Below are 26713 nucleotides of genomic sequence, written 5' to 3'. Positions count from 1 at the left end.
ACTGGAGGAAGAAGAATTGTCTTGGGCCACACATAAAATATACTAACATTAACAATAGCTGATGAGCTAAAAAAATCGCAAAAAAATCTCATAATGTTTTAAGAAAGTTTACAAGTTTGTGTTGGGCTGCATTCAAAGCTGTCCTGGGCTGCATGTGGTCTGTGGGCTGCGGGTTGAACAAGCTTGCTGTAGAGCTTGGGGCCACAGCAAGGTCCTGTCCCAGAGAGAAGGAAGTCTGCCTTCTGGAGACCCAGCCAGGGCTTGTCAGGGATGGAGAGTTCAAAGGAAGGAATCTTGTATAAAACATCCCTTTCATCCCAACAGAAAGTTTTAAGATGATATGACCTAAATTGGATTCCAAAGGCCAGGAGCCTTCCTCTCCATTGGGTAATGCAGGTTTCATTCCATCATTTCATCATTCAGTGTTTACTGAGAACTTACTACAAATGAGATGCTATGCTAGGTGCATTCATTTTCTCATGTAGTCTTAGCAATAACTTTTGAGGTGCATATCATTAAACCCATTTTACACACGAGGAAGATCGAGGCATACACAGGCAGTAACTGACAGAGAAGTACTTAATTCTCCAGCTTTTGTTTTTCAGTTTCATGCTCTATTGTTTACAACAGGGGTTCCCAGACTTTTGGAACTTATAGATCAATAACATTTCAAAAATGATTTTTCGGAACAAACACAGAACCCAGTGCCAACTTTTTATTTAGCCAACGACATTGAAAAAACAGCATCTTCCAGCACCATGATTTCATAAAAGGGCATTTTAACACAGAGAATGTAGCAAGGATATAACCTTAGAATAAAGACAGCCTTCTAAGAAAGGACAGTTGGCAACCTTAACCTAAAATATCCTACATTGTTCTGTGTGTGTGTGTGTGTGTGTGTGTGTGTGTGTGTGTGTGTGTGTGTGTGTGTTTTCATCTCATTTCAAGCAGAACTGGCCAAAACTTTGGCATTGCAGGCTGTGGGAGCCACTGCCCTACCCCAGAGCTGCCTCTCCAAGCAAGAACAATGCCCTCTGCCCATAAGCAAATAAGCTTCCAGAATTTCCCATCCCCCTCTGCCCATCTAGGTCCCCCACAAATAAGGTCTGAGGTTGATTTATACAATCAGCTACATTCTCCACTTCTACTCCCAGCAGGTCTTCTAACTTTCACTGATATTCAGTGTCCGTTCCAGGGAAGGAAACCCATCCTCCCCAGTCCCCTTCTCTCTTAGACTCAGATGTTTTCTACATTTGCATTCCAGGAATATCCAGGCCCGCTGCAGCACTGCAGCAGCCCATTTGTCTCCAAAGTCCCCTAGTCCCCCACCCATGGTGAGAGCAGCAGGTCTTCTCCATATATTTCAGTCCTGAGACAGGGCCTTCCCCTTGCTGGGGTCCCCAGGGCCTGGCTACCATGTTATCAAAGGAACCAGAGCAGACCCCAGGCCTTCTAGGCAGTGCTGGAAAGGAGAGGGTGTGAGACCCAGGTGGAGCAATGGGGAGATTACAGAATGTGGGAGTCCTATTTATTCTCTCCCCATTCTTTACCTTCTCTCTCCTTCTCCTTCCTCCATCTGTGCCTGCCCCCTACCCCACCTGCATGAGCAGATGGGCAGTAGAGCACAGCCTGCCCTGTGGAGCCCTTGAATTCTAGCTTCACCATTTTCTTGCTATGGGGCATTTGGCAAGCCTCTTGACCTCTCTGTGCTTTAGTTCTCTTGCCTGCAAATGGGAGTAAGAATGTCAGGTTGACTCACGTGAAATTGCCAAAATTTGACAATATTGGGCTCACAAAAATCAAAATTTCATGTGGTTTAACAACAAAAAGGTGTAAACTGTAAAGTGTTAGATATATGTCTCTCATCAAGTCTGGCCCCCTCCTCCAGGAAACCCTCCCTAGCTACTCCAAGGCCAGCAATAGCTCCCTCTGAAATCTCTCATGGTTGGGGACATGATTTAATATACATTTCTTTCCTGTCTTCAGTTTTCCTGCTCTATTTTCATGCCCTATTCCTGAGAATGAGTCTAGCTTCCTCACAACTTGAAGCCCATCAAGGGCAAGACCTGGGGCTGCTCCTCCTCTGTCCCCTGGACTGTTGGCACACCACCAGTGTCCTCCATTAGGGTTTCCACATAAAGGAGGCAGGAGAAGCCAGATCTCATCAGGGTTTATCAAGGGCCTGATTTATCTAATAGTCATTGCTGCACCTAAAGTTGGTCCTAGATGGTCGTGAATGGGTGCCACTAATGAAATTGAGGGCGAGTGAGGTGCTGGTAGGGTGGAATTAAGAGATCCTGACCCCTGGCCGGCCTGTGGCAGCAGTATCCCAGGAAGCAGAATTTTGGTCTTATCCTCCATCTCCTCCAAGCATCCCCTCCAATGCCATTAGCTAACTTCTAGGGTCCCTCACTCATTTGTAGAGTTGAAACTTATTAATCTGCTTTCTGTCCACCCTTGTGTTGGTGGAGAGGTCCCTGAGATAAGGTGGACCTGCTCCACCCTCAGGGCACAGACTGCACTGTGTAATCAGTGCTCAGGGTCACAGGAGCTAATGGGCCATGGGAACCAAAGGCAGGGACATGACCAAGGTTTTGGTGATTAGGAAAGGGTTCCCAGAGGAGGAGATGTCTCTACCATAGGTCATGGGGAAGCCTATATGGGCTGACTTCCTGAGCGGGGTTAAGGCAGACTAACTCCCAGCTAGACAAAGAAGCTCAAAGAAGTGTGTTAAATGGAGGTCTTCCCTCCTGTGGCTGGTAGACCAGGGCAGGCTGGGCTCACAGCTCTTTAAGAACACTTCTTCTCAAGGAGACCCAAGGACACTCAGGGATTAGGCTTCCAGCATCTGTGCAGAGAACTGTCAGCTCAGAGCTGCTCAAAAGTAAAAATGCCAGCTACCAGTGATGTCATCACCCTAGTCATTCCTCTCACTGTGGGAGGTCCTGTGGTCCAGTGGGTAGAGCAGAAGAGCCCCTGCTAGGCTGCCCGCCCCGCATCCTGCTCTCCAAATTCCTACTCTGGATGGAGGAGGCGAAAGTGGTCACATTGGGCTAAGAATGAGAGTAAAAAAATCATTTGAAGAAAAACTTGATGTTATTCCTCAGAGAGATGGCAGAGCCAGGGGACCTTTTTGCCTCCCTCCTGTGAGACTTTGCTGTGTGTCCGCTCCAGCATTAACCTCGGCTCCAGCCTTCTCTGGACAACTCCCCTCCCCTTAATGCCCAATCTGTCCCCCTATCCATTTCTGAGCTAATCTGGGGTATCAGGCTGTCCATGGTGTTGGAGGGGGTAGGGCTATACCTTAGGCTGAGCTAGTGAAATCTGTCCATAAGCCCGGACACTGTACACTGGGAGAGACTGGGAGAGAGGACACACAGTTGGATCCTTGGCGGGGGTTGGGGGGAAGGGGGCTGGGCTGCAGACTGGAAGGGAGTGGGGGCTGTGCAGCTGCTTGGGGGTGCAGGTAGGGGACTGGGTGGAACAGGAACTCACCCAGCGTGGGTCCACATAGTAGGTGTCATAATGTGGATGGGAACACAGGGAGAAGGGGCTCCAAAGCCAGTTCCAGAGTGCTGGGGCGTCCGAGGAACCGGCCCAACCGCTCCCCGCTGCAGCCGGCTTGTCCCTTTCTCGGAACTACCGAGGGAGAGGCGCGTGCGGAGGTCGGCGTTCGGATCTCGCATCCGTCACTGTTGCCGGCGCATTTCCTCGAAGTCTTACCTCGAAGGGCTGGGTCCCACCCGCGCGCCCTGTGCGTGTCTCCCTGTTTCCCCACGCCCTCCTTGCCTGGCTGCTGCGAGGCTTTGCAGGGGAAAGACTGGCGCGGGGTTCGCACCCTGCCCATGTCACAGGAAAACCGTGGGAGCCTCCCCGACGCGGCGCATTTCCGGAAGCCCCCTCTCCAGGAGGGTTGCGGGAAGGCCGGGACTCTGCATCCAGACGAACCCGGTCGCCTCCCAAGAGGAAAGTCGGAGACCCAGCTGAGGGGCAAAAATGCCAGGGAAAGGCGAGCCCAGAGCTTGGTGATGGAGAAATTGGGAAGCCACCCCCCACCCTTCAATCTTAGGATGGGGAATTCGCAACTGAAGCCGGAGCTTCAGACTTGGGGCGCACTCCCAGCTTAGCCCAGGAAAGAGATTTAAGGGCGCAGCAGTGTGGATACCTCTCACCCCGGCCCCGAAGGTCTAGCGAGGGTCTAACCTGGGCCCCTTGCCAGGCCCGCCCCCCGCCCCTTTCCAGCCCCCGGCCCGTGCGCCGCTGCCCCTTTAAGAAGCCCAGGTAGGCAGGCCCGGCTGCTGGAGCCGCTCCTATGGCAACCCGCGAGCTGCGGCGGCTTCATGAATATTCCGGGGCGCGGGAGCCCGAGCGCTGCCGGAGGGCGCTTCGGGGGAGGCGGCCGCTGATGTAAGCCCGGCGGGTCGCTGGGCTCCGCTCGGTTGCGGCGGGAGCCCCGGGACGGGCCGGACGGGCCGGGGCAGAGGAGGCGAGGCGAGCTCGCGGGTGGCCAGCCACAAAGCCCGGGCGGCGAGACAGACGGACAGCCAGCCCTCCCGCGGGACGCACGCCCGGGACCCGCGCGGGCCGTGCGCTCTGCACTCCGGAGCGGTTCCCTGAGCGCCGCGGCCGCAGAGCCTCTCCGGCCGGCGCCCATTGTTCCCCGCGGGGGCGGGGCGCCTGGAGCCGGGCGGCGCGCCGCGCCCCTGAACGCCAGAGGGAGGGAGGGAGGCAAGAAGGGAGCGCGGGGTCCCCGCGCCCAGCCGGGCCCGGGAGGAGGTGTAGCGCGGCGAGCCCGGGGACTCGGAGCGGGACTAGGATCCTCCCCGCGGCGCGCAGCCTGCCCAAGCATGGGCGCCTGAGGCTGCCCCCACGCCGGCGGCAAAGGACGCGTCCCCACGGGCGGACTGACCGGCGGGCGGACCTGGAGCCCGTCCGCGGCGCCGCGCTCCTGCCCCCGGCCCGGTCCGACCCCGGCCCCTGGCGCCATGGACAAGCTGCCGCCGTCCATGCGCAAGCGGCTCTACAGCCTCCCGCAGCAGGTGGGGGCCAAGGCGTGGATCATGGACGAGGAAGAGGACGCCGAGGAGGAGGGGGCCGGGGGCCGCCAAGACCCCAGCCGCAGGAGCATCCGGCTGCGGCCACTGCCCTCGCCCTCCCCCTCGGCGGCCGCGGGTGGCACGGAGTCCCGGAGCTCGGCCCTCGGGGCAGCGGACAGCGAAGGGCCGGCCCGCGGCGCGGGCAAGTCCAGCACGAACGGCGACTGCAGGCGCTTCCGCGGGAGCCTGGCCTCGCTGGGCAGCCGGGGCGGCGGCAGCGGCGGCACGGGGAGCGGCAGCAGTCACGGACACCTGCATGACTCCGCGGAGGAGCGGCGGCTCATCGCCGAGGGCGACGCGTCCCCCGGCGAGGACAGGACGCCCCCAGGCCTGGCGGCCGAGCCCGAGCGCCCCGGCGCCTCGGCGCAGCCCGCAGCCTCGCCGCCGCCGCCCCAGCAGCCACCGCAGCCGGCCTCCGCCTCCTGCGAGCAGCCCTCGGTGGACACCGCTATCAAAGTGGAGGGAGGCGCGGCTGCCGGCGACCAGATCCTCCCGGAGGCCGAGGTGCGCCTGGGCCAGGCCGGCTTCATGCAGCGCCAGTTCGGGGCCATGCTCCAACCCGGGGTCAACAAATTCTCCCTAAGGATGTTCGGCAGCCAGAAAGCCGTGGAGCGCGAACAGGAGAGGGTCAAGTCGGCCGGATTTTGGATTATCCACCCCTACAGTGACTTCAGGTAAGGGGCCACAGCGATGATCCTGTGGGTGCCCTGCGCGGTGGCAGGCATGCCTCCTCCTGACCCTGCCTCCCAGCCGGAGTTAACTTTCCTGCCTTGCGCTGGGAGCTCCAAGAGAGGCAGGGCGCCTCTAGGCTCCGAGACACCCCCAGGCCCCCTCCTGCACCGCGCTGGGGGAACTTTCCTCTGGGTTCAGTCACTGGTCTTCTCGGGTCTGGGCTGCATTGGAGACAGAATGAAAAGGTGTTCTGAGCCTGGCCTACCCCTGCCGGCAGCCAGGATAGGGCTCTGCCACCTTAAGCCACATATTCCTCCTCCCCCTTCAAGGCTGCAGAGTCAGGATGGCCATCCTAGAGGCAGCTCCGGGTCATTCAGCCTGCAGAGCAGGGCCGTGAAGAGAGACAGACCTCTTAGCAACGGGCCAGCTCCTTGGGTGCTGACAGCAGGCATTTATGTCTGCTTTCTGGTGCCCTGGGAAGCTGCGGCCGGGTCCCTGGAGGACCGAAGTCACTGGGGCCTCAGGCCGGGATGAAAACCCCCTGCACCCACCGTAACCCTGAGCTCAGCTCCTCATGCTGAGTGGTGGGCCAAGAGCAGGCACCCTGGGCAGCTGGCATCCAGAGCGGCAGGGCTGAATGACCTTGCTCATAGTGATGGGTGAAGATGCCTGGTGTTCTGACTGATGAGCAGCTGTCCTGTGTCCCATGCTTGTCCAGTGGCCCATCCATACCCCAGAGACCCAAGCTCCAGCATCTGCTTGGTCTCTCATGGGCCACTCGTGGGTCCCCAAACAAGGTATGACTGCCAGTCAGGGAGAGGGACCCTGCCCCCTTCCACATCACTTGAGTCGGATGCCACTGAACAGCAGATACCACTGGGAGCTTGTGGGCATATTTGTGCAAAAAGAGGGATTGTTGGTTGTTTCTAGGGTTGGGATCAGGGATGCCTTTACCTAAGTCAAGGTCCTAAGGTTCCCTAGTGCCCCTCTGGGCTTTCGTGATGCATGAGATTGTGATGAAGGTCTGGGAAACACTTTTCAAGCTGGGTTTAATTCTCTCATTCTCTCTTTCTCTGGGCCCTGCCGCCTACTTATCTCCCTTCCTTGCCTACCTTAGTTGCCTGCCTATAAAAATGAGCATTTTGCCAACCCAGAGCCCTCTTTGCAAACTCCAGGGAAGCTGGGTTTGTAATGAGAGCAAAGCCATTTTCCATCCAATGAGAGAGATTTCTCGCACTGGGAATGACCAGTCAGACAACACTCGGTGGCTTAAAATAGGTAGTGAACAGAGCCCCTCCCCCCTTTTTTCCTTTGACAGACTGCTCTTCCTAACCCTAATATCTCCAGGGTTCCCATTCCCAGAAGACTAGGGAGACCAGAGGGCAGGCTAAACAGACAGCCATAGTCATCAAATTGTGTGAGCAAATGTGGGACCCTCCCATCAGGAACGGTGTCTGGGTTCCCAGTGCCAGGTTCCTGAAGAGTGGGCTTGCCTCTGGCCAGTACTGGGCCCTGAGGATCCTGGGCCGAGCTAGAGAGGAGTGAGCAGGGGCTATGTCTCCTCCACCCCCATGGGTGTCCTGGGTTTTTCCTCCTGTCTCTCAACTCTTCAGTGGTGGTGATAGGCAGTTCCAGTACCAACCCCTCGAGATTGCTGAAGGGCCCTCCCCTCCCTTGCCCAGGTCCCTGCTGTTTTTGTTGTCAGAAAGCATCTGTTCAGGGTTCTCATCACCAAGCCCATTGCCTGGGGAGCCTACAAGAGGCCAACCCCAGGCATGCCCAGCCTCCCTCAGCAGCAAGCATTGGCCGGGGACCTTCTGGATGCTGGGCCTGGCCCTTCCTATCTCCCTTACCTTAGAAGTTGGAGAGTGAGGACTGGGTTGATTTCATCAGATAGGATCCTTTTCCCCTTCCTGGTCTTACCCCATTCTGGTATGTCTGTCTGCAGTCCCCCTGCTGCAGAATCTCCCACTAACTGCAGGCTGCCTGGGACATGGCTGCAGGAGAGGGTGTGGGGATAGGGAAGCGGGGATACAGCAGAATTGTGAAATGGGCAACAGGAAAAGGGTCAGAGTGGGCTTTGAATTTGGGTTTGTGCAACAAGCAACAGGGACTGGTAGCTGCAAGTGGCACGTCCTCTTTGCACAGCCTTGTAGCTGTCTGGAGCTGGGTGGGGTGTAAGGAAAGAAATCCAAGAAAGACCATCTGAGTGTGTCTGGAGGAGCGGTGGCCATACCTTTCCTGCTTCTAGGCCAAAACAGCTAGTGTCATCCTTAGAATGTCAAACAGGCAAGAGCCTAGCTAATTCTTCTAAGCTTCGAAAACCCACCACCCAACCCCACCTAACCCACCGCACCCCGACCAGCACCCCCAGCCTTGGTCTCTAGAGTTTTAGCCATTGGCCTTGGGCCTCTATGTGTAGCCAATCGCCATTGCCCACCTCAGGCTTCGCAAGAGCTTCTGCAAGCATTGCTCAGGCTAGTCGAGGATTTATTCATCATTTTGACGGGCAGGAAGCATTGATCCAGCAGAACTGGTTTAATAAAGAATTGCCAGCAAACAATGATAGATTGAGTTTGCGGTTTGGAGTTCAGGGCTGGCTGTGATGGGCTGCTTCCAGCATCTCCCATTGCTGGGGGAGGAAGGCTGGGTGCCTTTTCCAGGGCAAGGGTGGGCTGTGCTTTGAGGGACCAGCATAACCTGGGCCATGGCTAATCATAGGCTTTTCTGGGCTACCTCTGCTTCTCATTACTCTACCTGCCCCCGATCCCACCCCCCAATAGAAAAGAAACCATGCCCTGGCCACCGCCATGGCTTCCCCAGGCTCCCTGGGCTTTTCTGGCTTCCCCTCCCCTCCAACTCCCCATCTGCCTTTTGAAACTTGTATTTGTGGTGTGTTAAGGGAAGAGGCCAGGATGCTGCAGCCCCTCAGGACATAGCTCCCCGGGCTCCTCCCCGAGGCTGGCTGGGCTCTTGGGTCCTGGATGGGTCCTTCCTTCCACACAAGCTGTGTCCTGGAGAACCTGGAACAACAACAACAACAAAAAACATAGGTACTGGCTAATCTTGTTTTTCTAAGAGGAGAGAAAGGAAATGGAACCCCAAGTGCAGATGTAGCTGGTTGTGTTCCTGGAAGCTGGTCAGGCTCAGGGAGTCAGCCTGGGTGTGTGTATCTAGGTGTCTGTCTGAGTGGGTGTCTGGGGGCTGTGTGGGTGGATGTGGAAGCTGGTGGGGAAGTCCCTGTGTGGAACGTCAGTTCTGGGATTGCTGCTGCGCCCCCAAAGCTGGCTCAGCCTTAATAATGGAGGCAGGCAGAAGCTTGGCCTTTCTCATCCCCCTGTCCCTACCCTCTCCTAGACTGAGCCTCCTGAAGCCATGAGGAAGGGAAGACGGGGGTGCTTAAAGTGTCCTTTCCTTGGGGCAGAAAGAGCTGGGCTCCAAAATCTTGGAAACTGGGCCAGTGGCCTAGCAGGTCCCAGGGGTGTCCTGAGCCGACTTCCTGCTGCTGGTCACTGGCACCCCGTCACTGCCATTACTCACCTCCCATCACCTCCCCAACCCTGACTGCTGTGGAGCCCTGTGTGGGTTATGAGCCTTATTTGAGCCCCAGTTTTCCCATTTAGAAAATGGGAATCTTGTTGCCTGTTGCCATGTCAAGCACAAATTGTACAACTGTGGTCGCCCTGCCGAGGTGAGAAGCTGCAGTGAGCTGTCAGAGGAGCCGTGATGCTGTTGTGAACCACACCTCCCCTGTCCTCACAACTTCCTTTCCTTGGTTTTGGGAAGATCACAAGGGCCTCTGTCCTTGGCTCAAGCAGGGGTTGTGAACCTTCTTGGGGTCAGACATTTTACTCCATCCAGAAGGATACCTGGGTGTCCAGACACATAGAGTGTGGCACTTAATTTCTGGTGTCTGTGGCCCCCTAAGTTGAGGACCATCTGGGAGCTCAAGGTTGTGAACCCCTCTCTAGGCCATCCCAGAAGAGAGCCTGGGCCTGGTGAGAGGCAGACACTCACCTTCTCTGGAGCCTGGCAGTGGGGGTCCCTCTGCAATCTGGGGCTTGGGCCTCCCATTGCCAGCAGGATGGAAACAAAAACAGGGCTCAGAGTTAGATGCCTGAGGGGGGAAAGGGGTTCTCCCTTGGGACTGGTTTCTTTTCTATTTCCTCAGTCCTACCCGCTCCCACCTTTCTCACTTTGAATCCTGGAAAGGACTGTTCTGGCAGGAGGTGGCAAGGAGGAAGAGGCAGCAGCCTGACTCTGGGTCTGGGGGTTCCGAGGCCCCTTCTTTGCTGGGCTTTCCTGGGGCCATTACCCAGGAATGTTGTTAGGACTCTCAGTGTGCAAAGCCAGGCGGAAAGGAGCCGCAGGCTGTGTTGGAGGGGGAAGGGTGCCTAGTTGCAGAGGGGAATTCCAAGGTGAGCTGCCTGGGCTGTGCTATCAGCTGGCACAGTGGGCAGCAGGGCTCTCTCTGGGGATGAGATGTGTCCCACCTGACAAGGCAGGGGCTGCTGGAGCTCAGGACCGAGGTGCTTCCAGGATGCTGGGTGCACAAAAACCCGATAGGGGCAGAGGGCCAGGATCCCCATACTGCCTGGCTAGAGAGGCCTCGGCTCCAGGTTCTCCCTGCTGCAAGGCTCAAGTTCCTGGTCTGGTGGCTACATGGTAAGGATGGGGGTTACCTTCTCCCCTGCTTGGCCCTGCCACACTGGTTCCCTTAGCTGCTGTGAGCTTCGAGGGTTTTGGGCTGCCAGGTAGCTGCCTGCCTCACATAGGGAGTTTCCAACTGTGCTGACCTGTCTCCCTGTCCATCCACCCTTCTCTCCCATGCTTTAGGGCCCAGTGTCCCCAGGGCCTTGTGGGATGCTCTCTCAGGCCACCCTGGCCACCATCCATCTCTTCCTGGCTGACCACCTTGTGGCATTTGGACGGAGCTCTGTGTTTGTTACAATGCAGCTTGTCCTGCTGTAATGTCATCCGACTCACCCGGCGATCTTGTTCAATACAGATTCTGATTCAGTAGGTCTGGATGGGGCCTGAGATGCTGTATTTCTCATTAAGCGCCCAAAGATTGCTAATGTGGCTGGTGTCCAGACCAGGACCATGCTTGGAGTATTGAGGTTACTGTTCATGCGCTTGTTCCATGCTTAGCCCAAGCTCCCAAACTGAGCTCCCTGAGGGCAGAGCTCCGTTTTATCTCTTTGGCCTCAGAGCCTGTGGCCTCTATCCCCAAGCTCAGCGTGGCAGGGTGAAGTCTGTGAACTGGGCTGAGCCAAGTCACAGAGGTCTGCCTGCCAGTGTGGGGATGTGGGATTCATAGCTTGCTCTTCCTCCTTTCCTGCACTGCTGCTTGGACGCTGCTGGTCCCGCATGCTGGCTTTTGGGATGGGTGTGAACAGGAAGAAGCTGGGTGGTCAGAGGACCCTCATTAATCCATCCTGTCCCACCACTTTTGCAGCTTTTCTCCCATCCAAAGGGCCAGAGGGGTGGGCCTGGCTGGGGAGAAGGCGCAGGGAGTACTGTGACTGCTGCATTGCAATGAGATTTCTGGAAAGGAGCAGATGTCGGTATGAGCGCAGAGGTGACTGAGCAGGGGAGCCAGTGGCTCTGACAGGGGCCAGCTGAGAGGAGGACAGAGGCATCCAGGCCTTCTTCCCAATCTTATATCCTTCTTCCCTGCCCCAGGCTATGGCCAGCAGCCGCCCCTGGGGGCTGGGCTTGCTTGTCACTTCTCCCTGCCCCCTCCTACCCTGAAAGGCATTAGCTTTCATACAAATGATGGGGCTGACAAGTGTCATAGCAGCCTGAGTGGCCCTTGTGCCTGCCACAACACTGACCACCATGGAGGAATTCACTCAGAGCAGAAGGTCCAGCCCCAGTCCCCTGGGGGCTTGTCTTAGAACCGAGGAGGCAGCCGGCTCCTGCACAGACTCACTTGGCTCAAGGGCTCTTACAAAGCTGCGACTGCCAGTTGCTAATTAATAGAAGGGCTACTGAGGCCGGCCAGACAGTCTTGCTTTCGCCCAGGGGATGCTGAAGAATTCACGTTTCCCAGACAGAGAGGGCCATGGGCGGGCAGGGGCATTGTGTTGGCTTTGGAGAGGATGTTCTCTGCCAGCTAGGCTTCTTTACTGAGGAGGCATTGCCAGGGCCCTAGAAGTCTGCAGTCCCAAGGGCTAGGAAGCCACTGGGAGACACTGTACCATCAGCACCCACTCGGATCTGAGGTGGGAGGCAGCACAGAGAGGTGGTGAGCTCCCCGTCACCGTGGGCGCTCAAGATAAGACTGGGCAGTACTTCGATCAGAGGTTGCCAAGCAGCATCCCATGCACCAAATACAGCATCCAGATGTGCTCTGTTTGGCCAGCATAGTGGGTCATAACAAATCTGAGCCAATGTTTTTAAATGGAAAGATACAACATGAAAATATGGCTCTCGGGCTTCTCTTGAAAAACTGGAAACCCTGGCAGCCCTGGCCCCACATTCCCACTCCACAGCGGGGAGCTGAAGGAGACACTAGAGGCTGCCTCCTTTACATTGGCTTTTGCTCTGCAGTTGTGCAGGTCCCCAGCTGTCGCTAAGGCCACTGTCTTACACCCAGCCACGTCATTCATGCCATTTAGCTGCCTGACCCCTGTAGGCTTTGGATTTTATAGCCCTAGACTCAAATCAACAGAGACTAAAGCCAGGTGGGTTCACAGATCAGTAACCACCATTTACAAAGCACCTACCATGTGCCAGGCTGTGCTAGGAGCTCTATATCTCCCATTTCATTTATTCTTCACGATGGCCTCCAAATAGTTTTATATCCCCAACTTACAGATAAGCCTCCGACGAGGAAAGGAGAGAGAGAGAGAGAGAGGTCCCCCAAATCATGCAGCCATGAATATCAGAACTGGAATTTGACATTCCTCCTTCTTTTATGTTAGTGTTTAAAAAATTTAATTACACAAGTAGTTCAAGAAAACATTCTCCTGAGAATTAAAACGTCGAGGAGGGGCTCAGAAAGGGATAGTCAGCAGGCACAGAAAATGGATCAGGTGTCGGAATATCAGATCTGGAGAGGCCTTAGCAAGCCGCTGGCCTGGAGCCTTTGTTTCATAGATGGGGAGTAGAGGAGCAAAGAGGGGGAGCAGCTGGCTCAAGGTCACAGAGTATGTCAGAGGCGAAACCAGAGACCAAGTGGGTTGTGTAACGTCTTGTCTGCAAAGGCCTTCAAGCTTAAGTCCACCCCCAGCTTCCCAGCCAGAGGGTTCACAGGGAAGGCTTTTCCTGAATGGTCCTGTCAGTTGGAGCTTTTTCTTGTCACTCTAGCTTCATACCTGTCTTTCTGGGATGATAGATATTTTCAGGATCCCATCAAAATTAGGCTGCTCCCATGAGAAGGGAGCCTTCCCCTTTCTGAAGATGCAGAGTCTGGTGGCTGGGACATGCTGTCCTGACCCCAGATCTGGGGATGCTGTTTCTGAGGATGCTGGGCTGGGATGCCAGCTCACCTCCTCTTCCTGGGCAGGTCCTGACTGCTAGAGACCTTTGGGGTTTGGGGACCATATCCGGGTGCCATTAATGCCCCTGTTCATGGATGGCGGTGATTGGGGTTCAGAGGAGAAGGGGCAAGTGTCCAGTGGTATCTTTCTCTGATCCACCAGAGAAATGGTCACGTGATCTATTCATGCTAGACTTCAGAAAAGTCAAGAAGTGGGGTTGATCTGTGGTTTAGGACTCAGTGTGTGACCAGAATCAGGGCTTATTCTGTGACCATGGCTAGAACTCAGCTTCTGACAATGGTCGGGGCTCAGTGTGTAACCAGGATTGGGGTTCAGTCCGTGGCTGGGGTCAGGGCTAAGTCTGTGGCCAAGGGAAGGGTTTGGTCTAGGGTCAGGAACTGGCATCCTTGTGCAAAGCCTTTGAGCCAATTTCGGTGCCCTTGCTGAGGTACCAAGGCTCAGGACTCTACCTTCGTGCCCCGCCCCCCTTTAGGAAGCTCTCCCTAAGTTCCCTGAGCTCCTACACCTCTTAGTATCTGAGCCAGCTGCCTCTGGTCCTCTCTGGGAGGTAAAGTACAAATTATAAATAAACAACAGAGCCACCACTGCCGACGCCAGAGCCACCAAATCTCACACGTGACAGCTCCCCACCCAACTCTGCTCTCTTCATCGTTTGGGGCTGGTGTTTGGTGTTCTCAGCCAGGCAGCAAGCTCAGGTGCCCTCAGGGTCAGGGCTGGACCTCGAGCCGTGCCGGCTGGATAGGGGGACTCCCTCCACCCACTGCTCCCCCAGCTCTGGGCTACCACAAATTGCAGAGCAAGCAGCGGGGCCTCCAGGTCTGATCACGGCAGCTGCGGGGGCCTGATAATTGGCTGCTGATGATTTTGTGTCTGTCTAAGCATTTATCTGTGTGGGTGGATGTGTTATGTCTGCGTGAACGAGGCTTTCAGAAATTAATACATAATGGGGGCTGGCTAATACATTATCCTCTGGGCTTGGAGAGAGGCAAGCTAAGGGAGTCATGCCCTCCAGAATACCATATCACCCATTCCAAGACTGCTTTCACTATTAAGGGTGCTGGAGGTGGCAAAATGGAGAGTAGGGTTCCACTTCTGGTTTATGGGAGGGCAGATGAGCAATAGATCAATATGGATTGATGGTCAGGGAAGGCATCCTGGAGCAAGTGACTCTGAGCTGGATCTGAAGGAAAGAGAGAACCACTCTGTGCACTTTCTTGGAAGCTTAAGCTAAGGGCCGCCTGGCTGGGGTGGGTGTTGGCAGGTGCTGGGGGCTGCTTATTCAGAACCTGCCTCCTTTAACCTGTACTCCTTAGTCCCTGCCCTTCACCCTTGAGGACTCTGAGCGGGCTGCCTGTGCTGCCATCTGAGTACGTGTGGTGTGTTTGCCTGTGTGTATGTGTGCACCCTGGTCCTAGGTGCACAGCCTTTGAGAAGACTCGCTTCTCCTGCCTTACTAGGCCCAGAAGGCAGGTGTTGCCTGCAATAATGTCACTGAGCGTGTGGCCTGGAGCCCAGAAGTAATTACCCTGCAGTTCCCCGTTGGAGGCTAGAGCAGCCCCTGTTAATGATTAATGTGAGTCCCCAGCCACTGTATGCCAAAGTCAGCCATGGGCTTCTCCCACCTCCAGTATCTTCAGAGGATGTGAGGGCACTTGTTCCTTTCCCCAAAGACAGGAAAGACCCTCAGGTCCACAGGTCCCGTTCATGCCATTAGCACCTTTTAGAAGAAACTTGGTCCAGCAGGGGAGACTGCCCCTGGGGCCTGGCTTCCTGCAGTGTGGGGGCCGGCCCGCCCCAGAGCCCTGGGTCCTCTATCTTGAGCCAGCCTGCCCAGAACTGCCCACCTCTCCCACCCTCAGCTTCCCCTCCTGACCCTCATCCTGTTCTGCTGGGTGACCTCAGCAAGCTCCTCTCTTCTCTCAGTGTCCAGGGTCGGGCCTCAGTATGAGGCTGAAGAGAGCAGAGCTAATTGGCCAAATAGGTATTGAGCCCTGAATCCTGACCCCATTAGCACAAATAGAGCCAGCAGGGCAGGGACAGTGCTGCCGACCAGTAGAGCTTTTGAGAATCTCCCTCCCTCTTTCTGGCTCTGTCACCGAGGTCCAGCCAGTCATGATCCTAGAGTTCTGCAGTCCCTGGGGGCCAGGGACACGTGGAAGATCTCTTACCTAGGGGCCTTGTTTTGTGGAGGCTTTGTCGGCCCTTGTCCTGGGGAGCGGGGCTGGGGGTCTTCCTGGCACGTTGTGTCATATTGGTGAGGCCTCTTGAAGGCCCTCCCTCCATTAGGTCATGGCCTCCGTGGATGGAGGCCAGGCTTTCTTTTCTTTGTTTCCGGGGCATCCTTCCCGGGAAGTGATGCAGCAGGAGCTTAATGAAAATGAACTGAAATGCCATCCGGGAAAGGGCCTCAACCACGCTCTCCTCCCAGCCTCCCCTCCTAGGGAGCAGTCCCCTCCTGGAAGCTCAGACCTGGCCTCAGAAGAGCTCAGAGTGTGAGGACCCATGCAGACTGCAGGGCACACCAGATGACTGTGGGTGGAGGGGCCCTGTGGGACAGGCCAGCGGGATCATCTACTCTGGGATTGGCAGAGGAAGGAAACAGGAAAAGCCGTTCAACGTGTCCCAGAGGCTCTGGGGCATCATCATCCTGTTGGGTTGCTCTGTAGCTCCTGGGGACAGAGTCTAGGGGACAAGCCTGTGAATCCTACCAGTAGAAGACTTGGCTCTGTGCTGCCCAGCTGTGTGGACTTAACTGAGGCCTCACCTCTCTGAGTCTTGCTTTCCTCCTCTGAAAATGGGACCAGAGAGGGGTTGGGTGTTAGCAAGATCCCAAAGCCTGAATTGGCAGCCGCTGAAGAGTCATCTGGGTGCTTATGTGATCATGGATGTTTGGGCTCCCTGGGTGAGGCCGGGCAGGTAGAGTTTCAGGAAGCACTCAGGTGATTCTGCCTCCATCACTTTGGGAGCCAATGAGCTGGGCATCCCCAAGCCCCCATCTGCACTAACAGCCTGCAGTTCTCTGATTGCTCTGCATTTGCCTTAGTCCTACGGTGGCTCCCCAGAGCTTGGGGTAAAATCCTGCCTTCTTAGCACAATATCCAACCCCATTGGTAATAGGCCTCCCTCTCCAGGGAGCTTTTATACCTTTTTTTTCCTTGTGGGTTGTGAGGAGTCAAAATCATAAAATTCTGAGGCCAGAAGGGACCTCAGAGAACATGGCCCCACTCATCTTCCTTGTTAGACTGTGTTTTCCTGGAGAGAAGGCAGCCCGTTCCCTCCAGCTCTGTGTCCCCAGATGCCCCAGAGAATCCTTGTTGTTTGGCCCCAAGCTCCATCCCATCAAAAAGGGGTGGTGTAGACCCTTGCAGAGTCAGTATTTAGCTACTCTTTATAGGGAAGCCTTCCTATGGCCTCCTTGTTAGCCCCTTCTATGACCAATGCTGCCTGCCTTAAGAAGTTCTGCCCCGGGTCAGGCACTGTGGCTCACTCCTGTAATCCCAGCATTTTTGGAGGCTGAGGCAGGAGGATCACTCGAGCCCAGGAGTTAAAGACCAGCCTGGGCAACATGGAGAGACCCTACCTCTACAAAAAAAAAAAAAAAAAAAGAAAAGAAAAGAAAGAAAAATTAGCTGGGCATGGTAGTGTGTGCCTGTAGTCCCAGCCACTCCAGAGACTCAAGCAGGAGCGTGGCTTGAGCCCAGGGAGGTCGAGGCTGCAGTGAGCCAAGATTGCACCACCACACTCCAGCCTGGGCTACAGAGTGAGACCCTATCTCAAAAAAAAAAAAAAAGCAAAAAACAAAGACGTTCTGCCCCAAATCCATTTCCAGTGCTTCATGTTGCCCCTCAAGCCTGTTTCCTCCCGCTGCTGGCAGTGCCTTCCTGTGTGAGCAGGTGAGCTCTCCCACCTAATTTCCCCAGAGGGTGTGCTCCCGTGCTACTCCACAACAATGTTCTATTTTTGCTCCAATCTCCTGAGTGGGAGGACAGAAGGTTCCTGGGGGAGTGGTGTTGGAGCCTTCTTTGATTCTTGTAAGCTTGACTGAGAGGTTCTCCAACTGCTTGTTACCTCCCCCATCTTCCCCAGTGGTCTTGTCCACTGGGTGAAGCACAGAGAGGTTAGGCCCTGGCCTGAGGGAACATGCATCTGGGCAACTTGGAGCACTGTGAAGCAGATGTCCCCTGCTGTGCAGTTTGGCGGTGTGTGTGTGTGTGTGTGTGCGCATGTACATATTCACTGGTGTGTTTCTGCATATGCAACATAGGGTCTGCAGAGGAGGAATTAGCCCATCAGATAAACAATGGGTTTTCATCTCAAAGTGTTTCTTTTGCCCAGGCCTGTTCTCACTGTGCTGTTGAGAAGGTGCGGTTGCAGTCCCTTTCTCAAGGAATTCTCTTCCTCTATAACTTTCCCAGCCCCTCATGTACCCTGGAAGAGCCCTGAGTTCTCAAGCTGGCGTTCAGGATGTCTTCCACATTCTCTTCAGAGCTGGGAGCTGAGGTGTCAGGGTTCCCTGAGGTGCGCGTTCTTCCGTGAGTGAGCTGTCAATCTGGCCAGCTGCCCTTGGCTGACCTCTTTAGCCTCTGCACTGCAGAGATTCATGGAACTCAGCATATCTTTAGAGATGTCTAGCTCCATCCTCGTGTTGTGCCAATGGGGAAACTGAGGAAGAGACAGTGAGAGGAAGGGACTTATTCAAGGTCACATAGCAAGTTAGAGACAGGGACGGGACTAGAACTTGAGAATCTCAGGCCCCTGACCCAGACACCTTCCATCGCATAGCATGGGCCTCCTTCCTGTAACCCCTGGCCTCTAGCCACAGTGCTGTCTCCTGACCAGCGGACCTACTTGGGCGCCTGCATCCTCTTTGAGGCTTTAGTACCCAACAGGGCATGCTGCCCCCTGCTCCTTTCTGGAGCAAGCCTGGCTGAATTTCTCCTCCCCTCTGGCCATCCCCAGCCTGAGGGATACAGAGTCAGAGATTCTGCATCAACCCTCTTACTCCCTTCCCTTGGCTCATGGCCCCATCTGCCCATGGAGCTGGCCTGGATTTTCAGCTCCGCTGTGGGGTGGGTCTGTCCATCCTCTATATTGAGGGCTTCTTGAGGTGGGACCATTTGTGTCCCTCAGGATCCTCCTAGCTCTCAGGCCAGGACCTGCATCTTAATGGCCATAGAATGATGATGATGATGATGATGATGGGGATGATGATGATGGGGATAATGGCCCACTTGAATTGAGTATTTATGCCATATAGCATATTGTAAATATTATCTCATTTGGTCTTCCTAGACTCCTGTGAGGTGGGGATTAATGTTCTCATCCTGCACATTAGAAAACAGGCTCAGAGAGGTTAAGTGATTTGCCCAAGGCCTCACAGCAGAGCACCTAGCCACCGTACATCTACAATAGCCTGGCCACACAGAAATGTGGTCCCTGCACCAGCAGTCTCAGCATCACCTGGGTGCTTGTTAACAGTGCAGATGTTGGCCCCACCCCACAGCCGACTGAAGTCCACCAGGTCTGCAGCTCAGAAAGTCCCCAGGTGATGTGTGTGCACATTCCTGTGTGAGGGGCGCCGTGCTGTATGGCTGAAGGATCACAGGCCAAGAAGAGAAGACTGGGTTAGCTGTTGCCCTCACACAGCTCACCTTCTTGGGGAGAGGCTGAGGCCAGCTCTCATTGCATCATGACAGGCAGGACCTCAGCCCAGGATGGGGAGGTACCTTAGAAGAGGCAGGGGTAAAGGGTCATCATTGGGTTTTAAGAAAAACAAAACGAAACAAACTTTGTTCCTCAAATATTGATAAACATAGAAAAATTGGAAAATAAATGTACACCCAAATCCAAACAACCCGCCTGTAAACCAAGCCCCAGATGCCCTTGGCTCTAAATCGGACTGTGTCTGAGGCAGCCCTAGGCAGGCAAGGGAGCAGCTTACCTGGGAGCCCTGTGATTCTGAGTCAGAGTTTTTGAGGTGGGTTAAAAATAGAGCCCTAGTGGCCAGGCGGGGGTGGGAGGAAGACAGCAATTTATCTATTGTGGTGGGGAGACCCTGGGGTCAGGGAAGAACAACAGTGAGGGGAGGTTGGGCAGGAAGGTTGGGCAGTGGGTGGGGCTATATTTCCCTCCAGAGACCTGAGCTGAGCACCCAGCCTGGCTCAAGAAGGCTGTGGGAGGTGATTTCAACCCTGAGGGTACAGGGGGAGGCTAAGATGCCAGCCCCAGGACACAGGCAGGGAGGACTCCTGCTCACCCTGGGACAAAACACTCCCCCACCACCAGAGAGGCAGCTCCTTCTAGGGTATGGGATGGTGAAGGTGGTGACAGTGGCTCTGCCTCAGAGAATGGTAAAGAGGAGCTAGACAGATAGGGGGTGTGGAGGGGGAGTAATAGGTGCTTTCAGACAGTTATCAAGGTGTGAGGAGGGGAGGCAGGAAAGGCATCCTCATGCGTGTCACGTGTCTGTGTCATGGACTGACATGCGTGTGATGTTAAGCTGTCCTCCTTTGCCTATTACACCTGCTCTTCAGACAACCACCCTCTCTCCACCTTCATCATTGATCTCCAAAACATCTTCTCATCCTGACCTCCCGGGCACGGCAATGACTTTGCCACATATTTCTGCTGACCACTTAGGAGCCATCTGGGGACCAGGATCGTGTCTTTCCCCTGACACATGTTAGAGGACCCCTTACAGCACAGGGCGCTGGCCATTGTTTAAAGGTAGATGAATGTTTCTGATTATAAAGGTAACATCTGCCTGTTTTGGGGAAGGTGGAAAATGTAGAAAGGTGAAATGGAGAAACTCAGAGTCACGATATATTCCCACCCTTAGAAATCATCAATGTTAATGATTTAGTGAATTCTTTTTTTGTTTTATCTTTGGCAGTCTTTTCTTCTTCTGGCAACAGTCTCCCGTCCGTCCGTCCATCCATCCATCCATCCATCCATCCATCCATCCATCCATCCATCTGTCCATCCATCCATTTAACAATAAGATAATGTTACTGAGATTCCTCCCCATCCCTTGCCCAACTGTGTGTTCCCATCTTGGAAAAGGAAGAGAAATCATTTCTGCCCTTGGGGAGCTCACAGTAGGGGAAGCCCTAAGACTCCTCCTGGGTCTGTCTGGTTGGGGAATGGAGGGGATTCCGGGAGAGCAGTGGAGTTGCCTCCTTCATCCCCTCCTCAGGGCTCCTGAGTCTCACTGCTAGGCCTATTTGGGAAGAAGGGAGAACTTCTAAAATCCCCTGTGGTGGAGGTGGGGTAGAGGAGGGCCAAGGGGGTGTGCCCATAATGAGAGGCTTATTATGGGTGGTTGGTTCTGCTCCCACCGCCTGCACAGCTCAGGCTGGAAACACAGTCAGGGCCCTGGTTGGCAGTCTTTAGCCACAAGGTCCCCCGACCAGCTCTCTCTCATCCCATCCTGTCAGAGACCCCAGGCCCCCTGTTTCTTCTGTCCCATGTCTGTTCACCTGCCTTCTCCCCCACTTTCAATGTCTCCGCTCTTTTTCTGTCACTTTTCCACCATGATCCTCAGCACTGGGTGGGACCACCTGCCGAGGGCTGTTGCTGTGAGTCTTGGGGGTTTGGATGTGCTAAGTTCTTCCCTGATTGTCGGAGGCTTGTGGAAGCCTGGTGGGAAGGAGTCTGTTTCTGAGGGCTGCCCGCATCATGTGGCTTCTGCTGGGCTCCCTGCCACTCAGCCTTTGGCACGCACTCCTGAGGCATGCATGGCATGCACTCATCTGTTCACCCATCCCCCATCCACTCATTCGTATGTTTCCACCCATTCACGTATTTATGAGGACCTACCGTATAAAAGGTACTGCGCCGACTTCAGAGAGTCAGTGATGGCAAGTTAGACTGTCACACACACAGTTTCTTATAACATGATAAGTACTATGCCAGGGCAGCGCCTGTGAGGGGCAGTTAACCAGATTTCCTAGGATACAAAGAAGGCTTCCCAGGAGAAGTGATGCCTCCTGTGAACCAAGGGGGGTAGGTGGGTACAAGTGGGGAGAAGAGTTCCAGGCAGAGATGACAGCATGTGGGAAAGCCCAGAGGCAAAGAAAGCACCATGCGTTGGGGACACCGAAGGCTGCTGAGTCTGTCTGCAGCAGAGTGTGCAAGGAGAGGAATGGGGAGCATCAAGGCAGGAGAAGGAGGCAGAGTCCAGGCCAGGAAAGGCCTTGGGGACAACAGTGAGGAATTTGGATTTCACTTAAGAGGTGATGGGAAGCGCAGAAGGATTTGGGGCTTAGCAAAGTGTGGAGAGTCGATTGGAGGAGGGTGCTGGCCCCAGCCCTGACCCTGAGGTATGTGAGGTCCTGGACTGGCCAGGAGCTCAGCTGGGAAGCTGTTGGAGTAGTCCCCATGGTGGGTTGATGGGACACGTTGGATCCAGTGTGATGAAGTGTTGGAAGGCAAGGGAGATAGAAGAGTTGAGGATAGCTCTGAGGTTTCTGGGATATACTTTTGGATGCCTGGTGGTACCATTTTCTGGGAGCACAAGAGTGTGGAGGAAGCTGTGAAGCTCTGTCTGAATATGGCAAGGGTGAGGTTCCCGTGGGACATCCAGTTGTAGACATGTAGTCAGCAAGTGGATGCATGGGTTTACAGTTCAAGAGAGGGGTATGGTTTACAAGGCAGCAGAATAACAAGGCCATGGGAGTCAGTGAAATCACCTGGAAAGAGTGCACAGAGCGGGAAGAGATGAGGGCCCCAAGGAGCAAAAACATGGAAAGGTCATGCCGAGGGAAAGGAGGCCGTTCAAGGGAAGGGAAAGGAGAGGCAGTGAGAACAGAGAAAAGTCAGTGGAGTGGGCCACCTTGGAAGCCAAGGAGGAGACTGTCTGCAGGTAAGAATGGTCTACAGGACCAGATGATGCTAAAGGCCAGGGAGGAAATGGACTGGAAAGTGACCATTGGATTTAGCAGCAGGATGCATATTGGTGACGTGCTGAGGAGTGGAGAGCAGCATCGCTTCTCGGCCTTTTGGCTAAGATCAAGTGGAGTGGAGAGGAGCGCTGGGTGAGGGGCACGAAAGCGAGAGTGTGGGGACGGTGACACCTCCTTCAAGGAGCTTGGTAAGAGATAAGACAGCAGGGGTTCAGGGAGGGATTTTTTTTTAAGTTTAGAGAGCTTAAAAGGAAAAGCTGATGGGAAAGGATCAGTGGAGAGAGACAGATGGAAGAGAGAGAGGGAATCTTCTGTAGATTAAGGTCCCTGGGGAGGAAAATGGGGATGGTATCAAAAGGGCAGGTAGAAGAGCCGCTGATTCCCCTGTGACTGGGAAGAGGAGATGGGATTGGGGAGATGCTTCAAGGTGGCAGAAAGAGGAAGGGGACACTGGCGGCTTTGCTTTTCTCTGTGACGTAGAAAGTGGTGTTATCTGCTGACTCTGAGAGAAAAAGTGGTGGTTTCAGAGCTTTGAGGAGAGAGGAATTAATTTGAAATAGCAGCTATGGGGAATGGGCAGGAAAGTTTACTAGGTTCTCCTGGAAGGATCAGGGGACAGAGATGAGGGCTGTGAATGAGGCCATGATGATGACATTGAGGCATGAGGAGCTAAGAAACTTGGATATTTAGTAGGACTGGTCTGAGGTTGTGGGATTCTCTACACAGCTCCCATGTGAACATGAAAAGGGTTGATGGTGGTCCTTGCCTGGGGCTGGGATTTCATGACGGTGCCAGGAGGAGGGGCATGGGAGTTAAAGGCGTTGGTTTTAGAGAGGCGAATGAGCTGGACCATCGTGTCTGGGGTGAAGGGTGGTTGGGAGGATGTAGGAGGGTTCTGATGAGAGGATCAGAGGAGTCAGCAGACTGGATATTCCCAGGACTCTGAAAAACAGGTGCAGCACAACTGAATAGAAGAGCCGGCAGGAAAGAAGGGCAGGGTGTACAAGAGGACTGCAGAGATGCAGCACCGGAGGTGGTGACGTGGTCAAGTGTGTGCTTTGGAATGGACCATTGAGGTGGGATTGTTAGAGTCAGGGTGGCAAGCTACCAAGAGGCCAAGGTGTTGTCTGGGTCAATGATATGGAGTAGAAGTCACCCAGGACAATCACAGGATTTGGAGTGGAACGGGAGGTTGTGAACCAGGTGCCAGCATTGCCAAAGTCCTTGAGGATGGCAGATGGGTGCTGGAAGGATGGCCAGCAAATGACAAGGATACCCAAAAGATCTTGTAGACGTTTCTGCCACAGGCAGGAGGTAGCAGCAGTAGGGAGAGGGGAGGATGCTGACTCACCCCTGATTCTGAGGCATGAGGGATTTGGAAGAGTGATGTCCTTAGGACACAACTAGGGTTCACTTAAGCGGGGAGGCAGTGGGGTCTGGGAGTGAAGAAGTTAAGGATGCAGGTGCCATGGAAGAGAGCACAGGAGAGAGAGCTGGGAGGGAGACAAGGAGCTTGGGGAGGGACAGAGTTTGGGAGTAATAAAATACCACCAGCCAGATTGATATTTCTGTGGAGTGGTTAGAAAGCAGGCCTCTGGAGTCAGACTCTTTGGGTTTGAATACTTGGCCCACCATATATGGCAAATCTCTCAACTCCTTGTACCTCAGTCTCCTCATCTGTAAAATGGGCATAATCATAGTATCTACCTCATAGGGGTTTTTTTTTAATGAAGATTAAATAAAGTAGTCCAGATAAGGTACTCAGATTAGTGCCTGGCAAATGGTAAGTGTCCAAAAAGTATTGACTGCCATCCTCCTCCATTCTCACTGTTTTCAGTGTCAGGATCTTTGCTGGGTCTGGAAAACCAAGGGAATGGGAAAGATAACCCAGAGGGCATATGAGTTGGAGAGAATGAGAATGGAGGCTGGAGACCAGGAAGGAGGTGGGGCAAGGGTCCAGCTGAGAGACAGATGCAGAAGCCATCATGGAAGCAGCTAGACTAGACATGGTGACTGCTGGGGGTGTTGCTGTAGGGGTGGGTGGGAGGTAAGAGGCAGCAGTAAGGGATGGCTGGGAGGTTTTGAGCCTAGATTATTGAAATGCAAACTGTGCCATTCAGCTTTGAGGAGGATGATGCTGAGTTCAGCTCTGGAGTCGTTGGCTGTAGGAGACAGCAGGCCCTCCAGGTGGATGCATTTTGCAGGCAGGTAAGAATGCAGGTCTGGTGCTGGGAGTGGCACTGAGTGGGAGCTGTCTGCAAAGTTGGAGAGGGTAACAGATGGGGCACTGAGTGTGCTGCTCACCTGGGAGAAAGCGTGGAGACCCACGGGCTACAGTCAGCACTGCAGGGACATGGGTGTCTGAGACAAGGTCCCTGTCCTCCATGAACCCATGGTGTTTTAGGAGCTAAAACCAAGACTCAGGCTGTGCAGAGGCTTCAGTGGTCAGAGTTGAAGAGCTAGCTTGAAAGGTGGAAAATATTTTAATGACAAAACAATGACATTCTTCTTCCAGCTGACAGGATTCCCAGTGGATATCATTTGTGCCAAAATGTATGCAAGAAAGTATGCATGTGTAAAAATGGATGCATGTAGGAGGGCAAAAGGCAAGAGCGTGTTTACAAAAAATGTATTCATGGTATTGCATGTGGGTGTGCATGTGTGTGTGCGTGTGTGCACGCATGTTCGTGTCTGTGCATGTGCACATGTGCATGCGTGTATATATGTGCATATGTCCTCAAAGGCAAGCGTGGGTGTGTGTGGACAAGAAGAGGCTGAAGGAGGTCATCCCTAGCTGGGACCTCCACTTTTCCTACTTTCATTCTGTCACCCTTCCCATCCTCTTTGGCCTCCAGGGAAGGAGAGGGCCCTTAGTCTTGTCCTTGAGTCCCCGAGTTCAGTATCAGCCACCTCCTGTCATGTCTTCCTCAGCTCCCTTGAGGCTATGAACTTCCTCTCACACCAAAACATGAAATTTCCAGATATCGGTGTAATGGGCTGCTTGGCTTTTTACCATCCCCCATTCTTTCTGCATATGGGACCTGCCCCTCCAGTGTCAGCCTATAAGTTGCCTCTTCCTGCTGAGAGGCCACCTGCCTGCCTGGGTGGACCCATTGGTCCAGGTAGGAAGTAAGGATTGAGATAAGACAGGTCTGGAAGCCTGGGGCTGCTGGGGCTCCCAGAGCCCAGTTGGTGTCTTGCTGGCCAGGACTCCTGTTAACTTAAAGGGCACTGGGCTGGAGGAGGATCCTCTGGATTTGGAGAGACTAGGGCCCCTAATTCAGGCACGTGCCAACTCCAGGATATCTGAGCCTGACTGCCCCTTGCTTTCCTGTCAGGGCATTACACCCACCACCCTGGATTCACACCCTGGATTGTGAGATTTATTCATGAGTGATTCTCGGGGTGGCCAGATGATAAGGGAGCATTGGGCATCCAGCTTGAGGCTTCGGAAATGTTACTCTTCCTTCCTTTGTGAGCCTTCGTTTTCCCTTCTATAGGACATGTGTGACCGTGACCGAGTGATTGCTGATGGCCAGGGTGCCTTCAGCACTTGAGAGGTGTGCTACTTCCTCTACCTCAGACAGCCCTAGCATCAGGAGCATGGGCCCCCCAAATCCTCTTTGCAGTCTTCTCTTCTTTCTCTGGGGCAGGGGCCACACCTGCTGTGGTAGGCTGCCTTTCCACTGTGATGTAAAGGTGTCAGAAAGGCATATCTGCCTCCCACATCCCTCTAGGGTACCCACAACCCCAAGAACTCAAACTCTGGAGTCCCAGAGACTTCTCCTAATCTTGTGTCTGTCCCTCACTAGCTGTGTAGTCTAGGGCAGACACTTCTCTGTCAGCCTCAAGATCATCATCTGTAAAATAACAGCAGCCACAGTGCTAGTGTGAGGGATAAATGAAGTAATGCATGGAAAACCCAAGTAAGTTCTCTATACATGTGAAGTGTTTTGGGGTCTTTATGAATAAAGACTTTTCAGTCACCAAGGAGCCCCAGTAAAAATGCTCAGAGATATTAAGGCATCACTTGAGATGCTTCGACCAGCAGGATTGGAAATGAAGAGGGGCCAGCAAGCTGAGGATGCCAGTGTAGAAGCTGTTGCCACCTTCCCCTGGCTAAACCCACTGAACGGGGCTGGCAGGTGTGCTGGGCGCTGTCCGTGGTGCTGAACGTCATATCTAGCTCTGGCAGGGCCTGGCTTTCGGAGACCTGTGCAAGCATCTGGCAAGGAGTAAGGAAAGGTAGTCCAGAAGCCAACGGCAGTTCCCAAAACCCAACTCCTCTCACCTCCTCCAGAAGCAGTTTCCCGGCCTCACCCTTCTAGGCCACCGGGATCCCATTTTTATGGATACCTGGGCTTTTTACGGATACCTGGGCTCATAGGGATGGTTTCTTACACCATTGCCAATTGCCTTCTATCCAAGCCTTGCGCTCTGACCAGACCATGAGTCTCTGGAGGTGAGGGCATCTGTGTACTGAGGCAAATAGGTCTGTCATCTGATTGCTGGAGGGACCTCCTGCTACTGGCTT

The 26713-nt window shown here is 54.2% G+C and overlaps 1 protein-coding gene across 1 annotated transcript in view, besides 4 other annotated features; it reads left to right on the top strand.

Annotated features, from left to right (window-relative positions):
• HCN4 (hyperpolarization activated cyclic nucleotide gated potassium channel 4) overlaps window positions 4298-26713 on the top strand; it is a 49100-nt gene continuing 26684 nt past the window's right edge. Inside the window, exon 1 of the mRNA NM_005477.3 lies at window positions 4298-5770. Coding sequence (NP_005468.1) covers window positions 4986-5770 — 785 coding nt within the window. The 5' untranslated portion in view covers window positions 4298-4985. The remainder of the gene's footprint in view (window positions 5771-26713) is intronic.
• Window positions 10034-10328: a silencer, noted in NCBI's record as "tiled region #342; K562 Repressive non-DNase unmatched - State 21:Repr". NCBI's record gives its function as "represses a minimal TATA promoter and a strong SV40 promoter by Sharpr-MPRA in K562 cells {active_cell/tissue: K562}" and the evidence as "EXISTENCE:reporter gene assay evidence [ECO:0000049][PMID:27701403]".
• Window positions 20386-20886: an enhancer, noted in NCBI's record as "H3K4me1 hESC enhancer chr15:73644711-73645211 (GRCh37/hg19 assembly coordinates)". NCBI's record gives its function as "activates a minimal SCP1, AML or CMV promoter by ChIP-STARR-seq in primed H9 embryonic stem cells {active_cell/tissue: H9 hESC(primed)}" and the evidence as "EXISTENCE:reporter gene assay evidence [ECO:0000049][PMID:30033119]".
• Window positions 20887-21387: an enhancer, noted in NCBI's record as "H3K4me1 hESC enhancer chr15:73644210-73644710 (GRCh37/hg19 assembly coordinates)". NCBI's record gives its function as "activates a minimal SCP1, AML or CMV promoter by ChIP-STARR-seq in primed H9 embryonic stem cells {active_cell/tissue: H9 hESC(primed)}" and the evidence as "EXISTENCE:reporter gene assay evidence [ECO:0000049][PMID:30033119]".
• Window positions 26251-26451: a silencer, noted in NCBI's record as "peak2386 fragment used in MPRA reporter construct". NCBI's record gives its function as "represses an SCP1 promoter by STARR-seq MPRAs in K562 erythroleukemia cells {active_cell/tissue: K562}" and the evidence as "EXISTENCE:reporter gene assay evidence [ECO:0000049][PMID:32103011]".

Source organism: Homo sapiens, chromosome 15 (assembly GCF_000001405.40).
Source record: "Homo sapiens chromosome 15, GRCh38.p14 Primary Assembly".
Classification (NCBI taxonomy): domain Eukaryota; kingdom Metazoa; phylum Chordata; class Mammalia; order Primates; family Hominidae; genus Homo; species Homo sapiens.
This window is presented reverse-complemented; position numbering and strand designations above follow the sequence as displayed.